This window comes from Homo sapiens, chromosome 10 (assembly GCF_000001405.40).
Source record: "Homo sapiens chromosome 10, GRCh38.p14 Primary Assembly".
In the NCBI taxonomy this organism is placed as follows: domain Eukaryota; kingdom Metazoa; phylum Chordata; class Mammalia; order Primates; family Hominidae; genus Homo; species Homo sapiens.
Genome location: NC_000010.11, coordinates 21,288,877 through 21,303,806, shown reverse-complemented (window position 1 = coordinate 21,303,806; position 14,930 = coordinate 21,288,877). Strand labels below are relative to the sequence as shown.

The 14,930-nt window shown below is 45.2% G+C and overlaps 1 protein-coding gene across 2 annotated transcripts in view, besides 4 other annotated features; it reads left to right on the top strand.

Moving 5' to 3' along the window:
• Positions 2,979 to 3,058: an enhancer, noted in NCBI's record as "active region_3121". NCBI's record gives its function as "activates an Ori minimal core promoter by ATAC-STARR-seq in GM12878 lymphoblastoid cells {active_cell/tissue: GM12878}" and the evidence as "EXISTENCE:reporter gene assay evidence [ECO:0000049][PMID:35858748]".
• Positions 6,177 to 6,977: an enhancer, noted in NCBI's record as "H3K27ac-H3K4me1 hESC enhancer chr10:21585759-21586559 (GRCh37/hg19 assembly coordinates)". NCBI's record gives its function as "activates a minimal SCP1, AML or CMV promoter by ChIP-STARR-seq in primed H9 embryonic stem cells {active_cell/tissue: H9 hESC(primed)}" and the evidence as "EXISTENCE:reporter gene assay evidence [ECO:0000049][PMID:30033119]".
• Positions 10,070 to 11,269: an enhancer, noted in NCBI's record as "MED14-independent group 3 enhancer chr10:21581467-21582666 (GRCh37/hg19 assembly coordinates)". NCBI's record gives its function as "activates an origin of replication core promoter dependent on BRD2, BRD4, P300/CBP and CDK7 cofactors, and independent of MED14, by STARR-seq in HCT116 cells {active_cell/tissue: HCT116}" and the evidence as "EXISTENCE:reporter gene assay evidence [ECO:0000049][PMID:35650434]".
• Positions 10,476 to 11,239: an enhancer, noted in NCBI's record as "OCT4-NANOG-H3K27ac hESC enhancer chr10:21581497-21582260 (GRCh37/hg19 assembly coordinates)". NCBI's record gives its function as "activates a minimal SCP1, AML or CMV promoter by ChIP-STARR-seq in naive H9 embryonic stem cells {active_cell/tissue: H9 hESC(naive)}" and the evidence as "EXISTENCE:reporter gene assay evidence [ECO:0000049][PMID:30033119]".
• NEBL (nebulette) overlaps positions 10,757 to 14,930 on the top strand; it is a 513,078-nt gene continuing 508,904 nt past the window's right edge. For both annotated transcript variants that reach the window (NM_001377326.1, NM_001377327.1), the window contains exon 1: positions 10,757 to 10,977. The gene's annotated coding sequence lies outside the window, so the exon portion shown is untranslated. The remainder of the gene's footprint in view (positions 10,978 to 14,930) is intronic.

The following is a 14,930-nucleotide window of genomic DNA, read 5'->3' as shown; positions in this document are numbered from 1 at the left end:
TCTCCAGTGATAACAATTGTGTTCTTTCTCTTTTTTTTTCTTTGAGATGGAGCCTCACTCTGTCACCTAGGCTGGAGTACAGTGGTGCAATCTTGGCTCACTGCAACCTCTGCCTCCCAGGTTCAAGTGATTCTCATGCCTCAGCCTCCCAAGTAGCTGGGAGTATAGGCGTGTGCCACCACACCCAGCCAATTTTTGTATTTTTAGTAGAGACAGGGTTTCACCATGTTGGCCAGGCTGGTCTTGAACTCCTGACCTCAAGTGATCTGCCCACCTTGGCCTCCCTAAGTTCTGGGATTACAGACATAAGCCACCGCACCCGGACGAACAATTGTGTCTTGAAATGCAGTTTTCTTCATTTAAGTCAGAGTTCTTCTGGGAATATTCCCTGTCCCTGTACTGTCTGGGGGTGTGGAATGGCATAGCTCTAGCACCTGTTCCACGGGGCTGAGCACCCTCCCTCCTGGGTGGCAATCCCTGAGGCTGACCCACTGGGGCAACAGGGACCTTGGATGGCTTTTTCTGTTAAGAGAGAACAGTAGCATCAGTTTTGGAGAAACTAAAGATCGATTCTTTTTTTTTTTTTTTTTAAGATGGAGTTTTGCTCTTGTTGCCCAGGCTGGAGTGCAATGGCGTAATGTTGGCTCACTGCAACCTCTGCCTCCCGGGTTCAAGCGATTCTCCTGCCTCAGCCTTCCTGAGTAGCTGGGATTACAGGCACGTGCCACCACACCTGGCTAATTTTGTATCTTTAGTAGAGACAGGGTTTCTGCACGTTGGTCAGGCTGGTCTCGAACTTCCGACCTCAGGTGATCCACCTGCCTTGGCCTCCCAAAATGCTGGGATTACAGGCGTGAGCCACCGCGCCCGGCCTTAAAGATCGATTCTTATAGGGAGTGGAGGGACAATTGGAGTGAGGGAAAAAGGAACAACACAAGGCAAGACAAGACACAACCAGATGCCTTCACCTTGGGTAAAGATTTGATTCTCTGTTGCATATAATAGCATTGACATTAATTTGTTCATTTATTTGCAGACAGGGTCTTGCTCTGTTGCCCAAGCTGGAGTGCAGCGGTGTGAACGTAGCTCATTGCAACCTCCAATTCCTGGCTCAAGTGATCCTCCTGCCACAGCCTCCTGAGTAGATGAGACTACAGGCACACACCACAGCACCTGGCTAACTTTTAAACATTTTTTTGTAGAGACCGGTTCTTGCTTTGTTGCCCATGCTGGTTTCCAACTCCTGGCCTCAAGCAATGCCATGTTGGCCTCCCAAAGTGTTGGGATTATGGGCGTGAACCACTATGCCTGGCCTACCTTGACATGTTGGTGGCCTAAGTTAACACTGGCAGGAGAGAAGGTAGGGGCTTGTATAGGTGACCAAGTTCTTGGGTTGCTGCTGTCATTGTGGGGTTCAGGGCTGTTTTCTTTTCCTTTCTTTTCTTTTCTTTTTTTTTTTTTTTTCTGAGATGGAGTCTTGCTCTGTCGCCCAGGCTGGAGTGCAGTGGTGCGATCTCGGCTCACTGCAAGCTCCACCTCCCGGGTTCAAGCGATTCTTCTGCCTCAGCCTCCTGGGTAGCTGGAAGGAACTACAGGCACCCGCCACCACGCCCAGCTAATTTTTTTGTATTTTTAGTAGAGATGGGGTTTCACCGTGTTAGCCAAGATGGTCTCGATCTCCTGACCTCGTGATCCACCCGCCTCGGCCTCCCAGAGTGCTGGGATTACAGGCATGAGCCACTGCGCCTGGCCAGTTCACGGCTGTTTTCTACAAGACTGCATGAACATAAAGCCTTTTACCAGGGATCATACCAGAAACTTAATTAAAGTAATAAGAAATAAGGCTTTTATAGCAAAGAGGTGGAGGGGGGATGGGAGTGGAGGAAGATCATATTTCTTTTTCCCCTTGATGCCCTCCTTGGAGAATCATCCATTTATGAGTCGGTTATAGAAGCTTTTCCCAGGACACTGCTTTTCTGGTATTTGTGTGGTTCTTGAACTTTCACAAAGCCCTGGGTACTTTAGAATCTAGGCAGACCTGCCCTTGGTCCTGGCCACTGAAATTTACAACTAGGCAAGTCAGATAGAATTAGGACATCATAGGGCCCAGCAGATGAATAAATAGGGTAAGACTATGACTGGCCAGGCGCAGTGCTTACTCCTGTAATCCCACCAGTTTGGGGGGCCAAGGTGGGCGAATTGCTTGAGGCTAGGAGTTCAAGACCAGCCTGGGCAACATGGTGAAATCCTGTTTCTACAAAAAATACAAAAACTAGCCGGGCGTGCTGGCGCATGCCTGTAGTCCCAGCTACCTGGGAGGCTGAGGTGGGAGGATCACCTGAGCCTGGGAGGTTGAGGCTGCAGTGAGCTGTGATTTCGCCACTGCACTCCAGCCTGGACAACAGAGTGAGACTGTCACAAAAAAAATAAATTAAAAAGACTATAACTGAGGGAGTGTGCCATTTTACTTGACAAAGTAACACAGATATAACATAACTTGGATGAAATATCTGTAACTGACAGAAGCCAGACTCATGGAACAGCCTTCTCAGATGCCTTGCCTGGTTGGCAGCTGAACTTCTGGGTATCTCAGTTAAGTATTTAACTTCTCCGAGTTTCCGTCTTCCTGTTTTCCCAGATGAGACAATGCTTTGTGTCTCTGGAAAAGTATTTTGATATTCTCTTAAGAACGTGCTTTAGGCCCAGCACAGTGGTGCGTGCCTGTCGTGCTAGCTACTGAGGAGGCTGAGGTGGGAGGACCACTTATGCCCAGGAGTTTGAGACCAGTCTGGGCAACATAGAGAAACTCCAACTCTAAAAAAAGAAAAGAATGTATGCGCGTTATTATAAGGATGATTTCTAGGTGGAATATGACAGTGATTGTTATGTGAGGTGCAGGACTGGAGAACATTCTACCCACAGCTATTCCAACTGAGAAAAAAAAAATCCATCCTAGACCCCCCAATGGCCTTCTAGCCTTGGTTCCTTTATCTCTGGACTATCCCTTTACCCTCCCCCAATGGCTGTAACCAGCAAGGGCCTGGTTCCTCTATCTTGAAGAAAGAGGAACAGATTGAGAGGATGACATTCAGTAGTTCTGAGGTTAAAACCCAAGTAAACCCATCGAAGAACTGTCACTGTGTACAAGATTACTTAGGAAGGAGATCAGAGAGATTTGTGTGTATTCAGCCTTCTTAATAACTTTTGAAATTAAAAAATACATACTATTTTCAGGACATTTTTGAGGAATTAAAGTATTATTGTAGGGTTACTGTAGGAATGTATGTATCTTAACATATCATGTGACAAATTTTGAGAGCAAACCTGTTCTCATACATTGGGCCTTGAGCCAATGGGGGAAGAGACACTGTCTAAAGACACAGAGGCAAGGTCCTGAATGCTAATACTAAAATCTCTTGGCCAGGCCCGGTGGCTCATGCCTGTAATTCCAGCACTTTGGGAGGCTGAGGAGGGTGGATCACCTGAGGTCAGGAGTTCGAGACCAGCCTGGCCAACACGGTGAAACCCTGACTACTAAAAATACAGAAATTAGCCAGGCGTGGTGGTGGGCGCCTGTAATCCCAGCTACTCCAGAGGCTGAGGCAGGAGAATCGCTTGAACTTGGGAGGCAGAGGTTGCAGTGAGCCGAGATGGTGCCACTGCACTCCAACCTGGGCAACAGAGTGCAACTCTGTCTCAAAAATGAATGAATGAATAAGTAAATAAAATCTCTTCGTTCAAAACTTTCCAGTGGCTTCTCATTTTATTTAGCATAAAATCCTGAGCCTTTTTCATGGCCCCTTTTCCATCTCCTCACTCCCCACCCCTGATGCTGCTCTTCAGATGGGCCGGGGGCTCCTTCCTACCTCTGCCATCAGTGCTGGCTGTATCCTCTGCTCTGGAGCCTGGTCCTCCCCAGATCTCCTCCAGGGCAGGCAAGGCTTCGCCAGCACCCCACCTCAAGGTTGCCTTCCTGTCTCCCACTCACCCTGCAGTCCTTCTCTTCTCTGCTCCTCCCCTCTCCTCCCCTCCCCTCCCCTTCCCTTCGCATCTGACATAGATGCACCTGTTTGTGTGCGTTGGAATGCAGGCTCCACAAGAAATGTGTGATTTGTTTTGCTCACTTCTATGGCCCCACTTGGCACATAGTAGGCACTCAGTAAGTTGGGAGTAGGACAGACTGGAGTGACTGTCCCTCAGAGCCTACTGTGGAGTAGGAGAGAGAAACAGGAAGAAAGATGCTGTGCGATGGCCCAGGGAGTGCCAGAGGAGGCAGCTGTCATCCTGGAGCAGGGCTGGAGGGCGCGGTGGACAGCCTTGCCCAGTGCCAGCCCTACTGGGGAGTGGGTTGAAGGAGGGCATCTCTATTTCTTTCCACCTCTCCTCTGATCAAATGTACTAGGTTTCTAGAATTAGGCTGAGCGGAGGCACTGAAATTCGGTTGCCTTTGGAAGATCCCTTTGGTGTGAACGTTTTATCTACTTTGATGTAATTCCCTGGAAACTCAAGTATCATTCTTTTATCAGTTTTAAAAGTAACTTCTTGTTCGTGTGCTTTTTTTTTTTTTTGAGACAGGGTCTGGCTTTGTTACCCAGACTGGAGTGCAGTGGTATGATCATAGCTCACTGCAGCTTTGAACTCCTGGGCTCAAGTGATCCTCAGTCCCCAAGTAGATGGGACTATAGGTACCCACCACCATGCCTGACTTTTTTTTTTTTTTTTTGTGGAGATGGGGGTCTCACTATGTTGTCCAGGCTGGTCTTGAACTCCTGAGTTCAAGCAATCCTCCTTCCTCAGCCTCCCAAAGTGTTGGGATTGCAGGTGTGAGCCACTGCACCCGGCCTCTATTTTTGTTTCACTTCAGATGTGGTTTATATTAATGAAGATGATGATGTTATCATTTGGAGGGTGTAGTGGACTGTAACTGCTTGTAAAAACCTCTCTCCTCTTCCTAGTTACATCCTTTCTCCTTCAGTGAACTTCTCCATTACTCTGTGGGGCACACAAGCTAATAAATTATTCTTGAGCCGGTCTCAATTGGGATTCTGTCACTTGCAAATGACAGACTAGTATGGGCACTATTATTTTGACAGTGGATTCATACATTGATCGAATTAAGATAGCTATTTCTAACATTTGTCTATGTCTTTCTCAACATTTAGTATGACATTTTAGACAGAGTAGATGCTTGAAAAAATTAGATATTAGATAACTTGATACCCTTAACACATAAACACACGAAAGAAAGCAGAAAAATATATTTTGACAAAAGCCACAGTCATGGAGGAATATTAATTAGGAATGTTTTGCCTCACAGTGTGGTGTTGCTATTAAAATCCACTGATGACCAGGTATGTATTCCTGAAAGAAATGTTTTTCATTTTATATTGGCTAAGGCTATACTTTGGTTGTTTGCAAATAACTTTCTTACAAAAAAGCAAGAAAATATAACTTCATAAATGAATTCCCAACAGAGTTAAGATGATGCAATGTGACGGTTACAATAATAACAGTAACACAATAATTGCAGTGCAGTGTTGACTATGTAAAGCTGGGTTTTAAATGCCTTACGTAATCCTCTGTCTTCACAATAATGGTGCTGTAGGAATTCTCATTCCCAGGTTACAGAAGAGAAAACAGAGGCTTAGAGAGATTACATGATCTTCCTTTCTGCCTTCCTTCCTCCCCTCCTTCTCTCTTTCTTTCCTTCCTTTCCTTCCCTCCCTCCCTCTTTCCTTTCCTTCTTCCTACCCTCCCTCCCTCCTTCTTCCATCCTTCCCTCTTTCTTTCCCTCTCTTCCCTTTCTTTTCTTTCTTTCTTCGCCTGCCTGCCTGCCTGCTTTCTTCCCTCCTTCTCTCTTTTTTCCTTTCTTGTTTTCTGACCTAACTCCCATTCACAGAAGCTGACGTAAATAAAAACAAGTATTGGACCTGAAAGTGTCAAAGTTAAATTACAACTAGAATCTGCCTTCTAAGGATGAGGTCAACACTTTAAAAAAGAGAAACAGGAGAGATCACATGATTTAAATGAAAATTGAAGCGGAGCTGGAGGAGGGCCTGGAGTCCCTGCTGGACTCCCCTCTAAGTTGTCTCTATTTGCTGGGGCAGGATAATTAACCTCTTGGGGACTTCTCTGTAGGTTTGGTATTGTTCTGTCCTCTTACGGTGAGACTGCATGGCTTAAAGAGATTTATTATTTATAATTATTTTCGAGCTTCCTAGGCTTAAGGTGCCTGTGCAGAAAGTCAGGGGGCCCAATTCTTTCAACTCAAAATGGCAGAACAGCTTTGCAAATCTGAATCCAAAACACTTTATGTATAGGTTGAAACTATTCATGTCAGGGGTCTTCCTTGTGGAAATCTGGTGTCTATTTTTTCGGCAATGAAGGAATTGCTTCTTAGACAGGAAAGACCCATGTCAACGGAGCCCTGGGCCCTGCTACTAGGAGGGAGAGGAACACAGGAGCAGGGACAGCTTCAGCTCCACATCAAGGGAAAAGCAGTTCCAGACGCAGAGCTTGGCAAATACACCTGCAAGTTGTAGGGATCGCTTTTGAAAACCAGCTGCAGCCACGCACGATGGCTCACACCTGTAATCCCAGCACTTTGGCAGGCTGATGTTGGAGGATCACTTGAGGTTAGGGGTTTGAGACAAGCCTGGGCAACACAGTGAGACCCCCATCTCCGCAAAAAATTAAAAAATTACTGTAACTCCAGCACTTTGGGAGGCCAGGGTTGGCAGTTTACTTACTGGAGGCCAGGAGTTCAAGACCAGCCTGGCCAACATGGTGAAACCCTGTCTCTACTAAAAATACAAGAATTAGCCAGGTGTGGTGGCAGGCGCCTGTAATTTCAGCTACTCTGGAGGCTGAGGCAGGAGAATCACTTGAAGCTGGGAGGCGGAGGTTGCAGTGAGCGGAGATCTCCCCACTGCACTCCAGGCTGGGCGACCAAGCAAGACTCCATCTCAAAAAAAAAGAAAAATTAGCTGGCGTGGTGGCATGTGCCTGTGGTCCCAGCTACTTGAGAAGTGGAAGTGGGAGAATAACTTAAGCCTGGGAATTTGAGGCTGTGGTGAGTACGATCGCACCACTGCATCCCAGCCTGGGTAGCAGAGCCAGGCCCTGTCTTCAAAAACAAAAACAAAACCCACAGTTGCTGGAGCTGGGTTCCAAGTGGGGGTTGATGTGATAGCCATGAGCGAGCCCCAGTCAGGGCCTGTGGGTTGCTCCCCACATGGTCTGGGGAGATGTTGGGTGGAGTCTCCGGGGGCTGCCCGGCTGCTTTGTGGCTTTGCCCAGGAAGACCTGTGTCCAAGGCACATGGGGACACTGTGGGTATTCACTGTGATCAGTAACTTGTCACAGTTGCTGTTAGTAGTGAAAATCTGCTCTCATAGCCCCTTGGAAGAGTTTCTTTTCTTTTTTCTTTTTGAGGAGTGCAATGGCATGATCTTGGCTCACTGCAACCTCCACCTCCTTGGTTCAAGTGATTCTGCTGCCTCAGCCTCCCAAGTAGCTGGGATTACAGGGATGTACCACCATGCCCAGCTAATTTGCAACCTGCACCTCCCTGGTTCAAGTGATTCTCCTGCCTCAGCCTCCCAAAGAGCTGGGATTACAGGGATGTGCCACCGTGCCCAGCTAATTTTGTATTTTTAGTAGAGACAGGGTTTCACCATATTGGTCAGGCAGGTCTTGAACTTCTGACTTCAGGCGATCCACCTGCCTCGGCCTCCCAAAGTGGTGGGATTACAGGTGTGAGCCACTGCACCTGGTCCCCTTGGAAGAGTTTCAGTCCCAATTGGGGAGGAGGGGGAGAGCTGGAGGGAGGTGGGGAGAGGCAGCTGCATTTCACCTGGGTTGGCGGGGCAAGAAACAGAGGAGAAGGCAGAGGGCAGGGCCTGGCCGGGGCATGCCTGCACCTGCTTCCTGGTTATTTTCAGCTCCTGGTATCCTGGGCCTACCAGCTCTTCTTCCTATCGTTCCGCTACTCTTGTTTTTACTCTCTCCCGCTCACTGCATAGAAATATTTGGTCTTGGAAATACAGAATTATGAGATTGCCCTGAAAACACTTCGTTGATGGAGGTGTTTGTCCTGATGTCTGAACCAGTTGTGTGAGGGAGAAGAGCACACGCTTGCATTTTTGCCTCCTAAGTTCTGTGCCATTTGCTCTGAGCAGAGACTGGATGTAGCTCTTGGAAAAGATGGATTTGTGAAAAAAAATGCAACATGTTTGCTTCAATTTCAGTAAATGATCATTTCAAAGATATAAAGCAGTGATTTGTTTAATTTAAAAAGTCAATATTAAACAATATTCCATAATGTAGAGGGAAAATTTTAAGAGGGAGGGTGCGGATGTGGGGTGTTTTATCATTCAAGGATCTTGTCTCAGGGAGGAGCTGAATTGCTCTGGGAAAAAGGTCTCACCTTTAACCTTACTTAAAGTCCAGGCTGCCTGTAATCCCAGCACTTTGGGGGGCCGAGGTGGGCAGATCATCTGAGATCATGAGTTCGAGAACAGCCTGGCCAACATGGTGAAACCCTGTCTCTACTAAAAATACAAAAATTAGCCACGCGTGGTGGCAAGTGCCTGTAATCCCAGCTACTCAGGAGGCTGAGGAAGGAGAATCACTTGAACCTGGGATGCAGAGATTGCAGTGAGCCAAGATCACACCACTGTACTCCAGCTTGGGTGACAGAGTGAGACTCCGTGTCAAAAAAAAAAAAGTCATAGGCTTACCCTGGGCCCTCTTAGAAGGAACAAAGCCCATCACACTCCATATACCAGTTGCTTCTGGTAGAACAGAGGCTGGGCATGTAGCCCCTGTGTCTACCTTAGGTAGCAGATTATAGAACATAGGCCCAGCTCAGCTTGCTTTACAAGACGAATGCCCCGATAAATGTGTTACTCATCAGAAAATACATCAGTCTTTTTTTCCTCCACCTTACGGTTCTGGAGGTCGTGATGGTAATGAATCCATAAATGCCATGTGGACTTTAATATTGCTCTGCAACCAGACACTGCCCAGTATGATGTGACAGTCTGTGGTCACTTCTAGCCTCTTCTTGATTTCTCCAAGTACAGTATTTCCTTTTCTAAAATCGGCCAGCCTATTTTTCTTCCAGACCAAGTCAGGGGTGAATTATGTGACCTGATCTCCTGCCTTTAGTACCATGATGGGCAAATTTCACTGAACCCAACTCCTGTCTGAACTTTGAAATGGTCCATGCTCCTCGGCGTACCCATCTGCAAAAAGCCTCCCTGACTCTGTGGTTGATGGTGAAAATGTACCAGGTGAAGCTGCTCTCCTCTTAGAAACCTAATCCGTTTTTGAAAAATTGACCTATGTATACTCAGTGTTGTTGTAAAGATGCTGTCTCTCTGTCCTGCTTGGAAACGCACAGTCCTCATCTTCTAAGGTAGAGAAACGAAGATGATGGGACATACGTCCATGGTTAGTATTGAGTTCTTGAACCTATCAGCCCATCTGCGGCACCAAAGAAATCCCCAACTCAAACATAAATAAGGAAGCTATGGGCTATGGGGCTCTTGTGTGGCAAACTGGGTGTCAGTCATTGTTAATGGACCGTGGCCAATGGGAACCTTTCTGCCTCTTTTATCTTTACCCTGGAGGTTTTTTTTTCCCCTAATGAAAATGTGCTGGGGGGAGGGGGGGTGGTGGAAAGAGTTGGATGATAATTTCCTTTCTTTGCCTCCTGTTTGCTTCACCTGGAAAGTTCTCCTTTAATAACAAGAATGGTGGGCCTGAGTGAGCGGCTACCTTGATGTCTGAGACAAACCCTCTCTGAGAATGCCAGACTTCCACCAGGGGAAATTGCAAACGGATTCCCTCCCCCAGCACCCCCACCAAGCAAGCCACCACCACTTAGCTGCACTCTTTCTCTTCTAAACCCAAACCCTTGAAAGCTGCAGATTTTCAAAGAAGTAGGGTGTGTCGCTGCAGCTGCTGCATCAAACAAAAGCAAACAGATTAAATTAATTTAGCCTTCAAAATCAGTCCCATTCTCTAATTCATAAAGTACTTCAAACACGGTAAGAAATGTCATTTCCCAGATGATTGGGACTAATTCACTTTATCTCTTTTTCCTCTTGCATCTGAATGCAAGCTATGTAAGACATACCTCACCAGTCAAAATAAACCGCTTGTTCCAAATGCTTCCGCCAGTTTTTAATAAGAATCTTCTCTGCTCTGTACAACAAACTCAGTTTCTAACGCACTTCAAGAGAGCTATGTGCAAAAAAAAAAAAAAGAAAAAAAAGAAAAAAGAAAAAACAAACAAACAAAAAAAGAGGAACAATGTACTCATTACAGTATGTTAAGTTGCCAGCACTAGGCAATTAAAAGGTACGGTCTGTAGGAACGCTGCAAAACAGAACAGTTAGCTTCTTTGTCTTCTCATTAACAAGATTGTTATTTTACCTCTCTAGGTAGGAAGCTTAAGAAACAAAACATTCTTGGCTTCTAAGTCACTCCAGGAAAATAAAGAGTTGTTGACAGCTAGGACTTGTGGAAAGAACCATTTATACTGTAAATAAATTTGCACATCCTTGTGGTTGTAATAAAGATAATTCCGTATCCATTCTATTGGACTAGATGCAGAAACCATTTAAAGAAACATCAAAGTCCTCCCGGAGCAAATGGCTCTTGTCCTGCTGACGCCGTCACCGCTGAGACTGCTGAGTAATGCCTCCCCTTGGGACCCAGAAATTTGGAATTTTTCCTGCAACGTGCTATGTTGTTGAGGCCACAGACTAGCGCTGGGAGGAACCACGGAGACTCTTTTACTTGCTCTCTGCCTGGGCTCTTTAATGCTTGGCTGTCGTTTAAAAAATGATGACCCAAATCTTTGCCATTTGCCAAGTGTGAGTACTTTGTGGTAGAGAGGAATGCGGTTCTCTTTGATTCTGGAATTCCTCCTGGTTTCCCTGCGTGGGTGGAAAAAGAGCCAAGAATGTAAGTCATTCGGATTCTCTTATGTTCTAAAGAAACAAAATGAAACAATCTATCCTTATACAGATTTTTACATTTGATGCTGATGAGCTTTCCTTTCACAAGATAGATACCTTCATCGTTTTTCTTATGCTTTTACTAGAAAATGTAAAACCTTGATTTCCTTTTAAGTGAAATAGAGGGAAAAAGTCCTTTTTAAAAGAATAGGCACAAGGGATGTTTTTCTTAATTATAAAGACAGTATTTAGAGTAAGATAAAAGTATAATTGCAGTTGCTTAAGGCTTGAACAGTTTTCAGGAAAAAAAGTCCCGAATGTTACTTTCTCAGTCAATTTCAATAAATTTCTCAGGGGTCTAACATTTATTTCAACCCCAGCCATACATTTTCTTCCTAAGTGGTCTTTTGCATTGACAGTATGTAGTGTGAGAGACTAATAAGATGATCGTGCAATTCCAGTGATATTCTGGTTTGCCTATCATTTAATGATTATCAATTAATCATTTAATACCCTTTAATGGCCAACTTGATTTTCAGGGTTTTGTTAGATAAGACCATACAGTGCTTTGTTAATTAAAACGTGATCTTGGGAAGCATGTAACTTTTATACAAAATAAACTTTTATACAAAGCAGAGCCTTAAATTAGCAGTTTTTGATGAAAGACTTCCTTGAAATATCCTCTTTGAAGAGAAAAAGAAACCACGTTCAGCTACAGAGACCCAAACTCCAAATACCTTGAAAATCAGATGTTTTGGTCCTTACTAAGACACATTTAAGAGCATTACAAAGATATAGCTGGACTGTGTTTATACTTTTTTGGAAGAGAAACCAAGTCTGGGCATTAAACTTATAACAGCAATTATCATCTGCATATGGGTTTAATTGTAAAACAAATAAGGTTTTTCTTTTTCTTTTTTATTTTTATTTTTGAGACGGAATCTCGCACTGTTCCCTGGCTGGAGTGCAGTGGCGTGATCTCAGCTCACTGCAACCTCTGCCTCCCGGGTTCAGGCGATTCTCCTGACTCAGCCTCTGGGATTACAGGCGTCCACCACCACGCCTGGCTAATTTTTTTGTATTTTTAGTAGAGACAGGGTTTCACTATGTTGGCCAGGTTGGTCTTGAACTCCTGACCTCTTGATCCACCCTCCTTGGCCTCCCAAAGTGCTGGGATTACAGGTGTGAGCCACTGCGCCTGGTCTGGTTTTTATTTTTCATAATTGCCATCATCATGACCCAATTTTGGTGTCAAGCCCAGTGCTGAGTAGGAAGGATAACACGTGACTTCTGACTCTTGTAGGCTTCTTCTTCTTCTTTTTTTTTTTTTTTAGACAGAGTCTTGCTCTGTCACCCAGGCTGGAGTGCAGTGGTGTGATATGGGCTCACTGCAACTCCTGCCTCCTGGGTTCAAGCAATTCTCCTGCCTCAGCCTCCTGAGTAGCTGGGATTACAGCCATGCACCACCACGCCTGGCTAATTTTTGTATTTTTGGTAGAGACAGGGTTTCACCACGTTGGCCAGGCTGGTCTTGAACTCCTGACCTCAAGTGATCTGCCTGCCTTGGCCTCCTAAAGTGATGGGATTATAGGTGTGAGCCACTGCGCCTGGCCTCTCTTAGCCTTCTTAGACCCCCTTACCTTCCCCCCACCCCCATTGCACTCCTTTCTTCTCTTTGCCCAGTATTTCTTCTTTTAGGTGCCAGTGGGATCTACTGAAAACTGATTATTTAGAGGAATTAGCAAAGAAAGCCCTTAAAGACAGAAATAACTTTACTGAGGTCTAGGAGAGAGGAATCTCTAAGAACCATTACTGGCATCTGGTGTGGGTGTAGCGGTGAGGAGAATTTTCCCTTCCCCTCTGAAGGTTCCAGTCTGCTGAAATGAACTGACAATAGACAGATTAAAAGGAGAAAAGGCATGCAAAGTTACTAACATGCATAAGCATGGGAGCCGTGCAAAACTATGAGACTCAAGGAAGGATCAGATGGTTGAGGCCTAAATATACTCTTCATAGGGGAGAGGGAAATGGGGGGTGTAGGTACTTTTAAGGGGTGGTAAATAATTTTCAAGGGAATTGGATGAGCCCAAATAATAGACAATGGCCTGGGACAAAGTTCTGAGCTCTGGGGGAGGTGGTGGTAAGGTGAGGGGAAGAACTGCACTGTGAACAAAGGTTGTCTTATTATGTAGATAAAATCTCCTAATAATCTTTTGGAGTTACCCTCAAAAGAACAGAAGAAAAGTTTGTCTGAACATTGTGATGATTTTAGTCTTTCTCTCCTCTGGTGGTTAATTTTTCTTGGTTATTTGATAAGATTCCTAGGAAGGGGCTATTAAGACAATTGTATTTTTTTTGGAAGAAGTTTTCCTCAATCAGATAAAGAAACTTCCAGAGTGAACCTCTGCATGTGCTTGGCTTGTAGGGGCAGGGGTTGGAGAAAGAAACAAGAGAAGGTTAGAAAATTTATTGATTCTGAGGTAGCTTCTAAGGTTTTCCAATTTCCTTTAATTCAAAAATGCTCAGCATACCGGAGCATCATATTTTGCAGTGCTCTGAGCCCCAACATTGAGATGGAGGATGGTTCTCTTTACTCTGACTACAACTCATGCAGTGGATAGACTGTCTATGCTGACAGCAGGGAGAGTGGTTCCAATTTCCCACAGACATTTTAGTGTGGGTGTGTTTGGGTGTCACTGAGGACCACACAGCATCACATGGCCCTCTTGGCCTTGCTTCCTTATTAGATTCTTTACAACCTGCTTTCTTCTAAAATGGATTTATAAAACACCCATAACAGGGTAAAGATCAAGAGAAAAAGTTAGAAAAAGGTAAGTCTAGAGAAGGGGTTGATGAATGTTTTCTGTACAGGGCCAGAGAGTAAAGAGTCTTAGCTTTTTGGGCCTTGTAGTTTCTGTTGCAATTATCTGCTGTTGTGCTACAGAAGCAGCCACAGACAACAGGCAAGTGAATAAGCATCTTCAATGGAACAATAAGCAGGCACCAGATTGGGTTTGCCCTTTGACTGTAGTTTCTGACCCACTATCTAGCCTCAGAATATTAAAATTAAACTAAGGAAAATATATTTTCAGTGAACTGCATAATTGAAGGGTCTGTATCATCATTCAAAGGGGCCCAAATTTAGTTGTGAGTTTCCTAAAGCTCAAAGCAAAGAGTAAGACCAGGCTTACTTCCATGAGATTAACACACGCTGGGTGCTCTGGAGAAGTCCTGACACTGTGGTTGTGATAATCTCTTAAAGGCCCTGAGAAAGGGGGCATTACACCAGTAAGGGACAACGTCCACAGCATTACATTTTCAGTAGCCAGTTTCATATATTTGCTGTTAAGCAACTAAGTGAGCCAAGGGCACAATTCCAAAGCATATTTTAGAAAAACAAATTTGAGGACAAAAGGCACTTCAGTCCTATTGCTGCTGGTTTGGGTTGAAATTGACATCAAATGGAGATCATTTAGCTGAGCAATGAGCTGCATGCTTGTCTTCTGGACAGTCCTTCATGATCTCCGTGAATACTGAGTTGCTCCTCTCATACCCAGCTGGTGTCAGGATTCCCCTGCAGCTGTAAGGCCCTCATTTGATCAGGTGCAATTATGTTCCTGCTCATTCTTTCCAGTTTGGGAACAACCGGGCTTAAGTCCTGATTACTGCCCTATCATAAAATATAAAAAGGGCCGGGCTCAGTGGCTCATGCCAGTAATCTCAACATTTTGGGAAGCTGAGGCGGGTGGATCACGAGATCAGGAGTTCAAGACCAGCCTGGCCAAGATGGTGAAACCCTGTCTCTACTAAAAAATACAAAAATTAGCCAGGCTTGGTTGTGGGCACCTGTAATCCCAGCTACTCGGGAGGCTGAGGCAGAGAATTGCTTGAACCCGGGAGGCAGAGGTTGTAGTGAGCTGAGATCCTGCCGCTGCACTCCAGCCTGGGCAACAGAGCAAG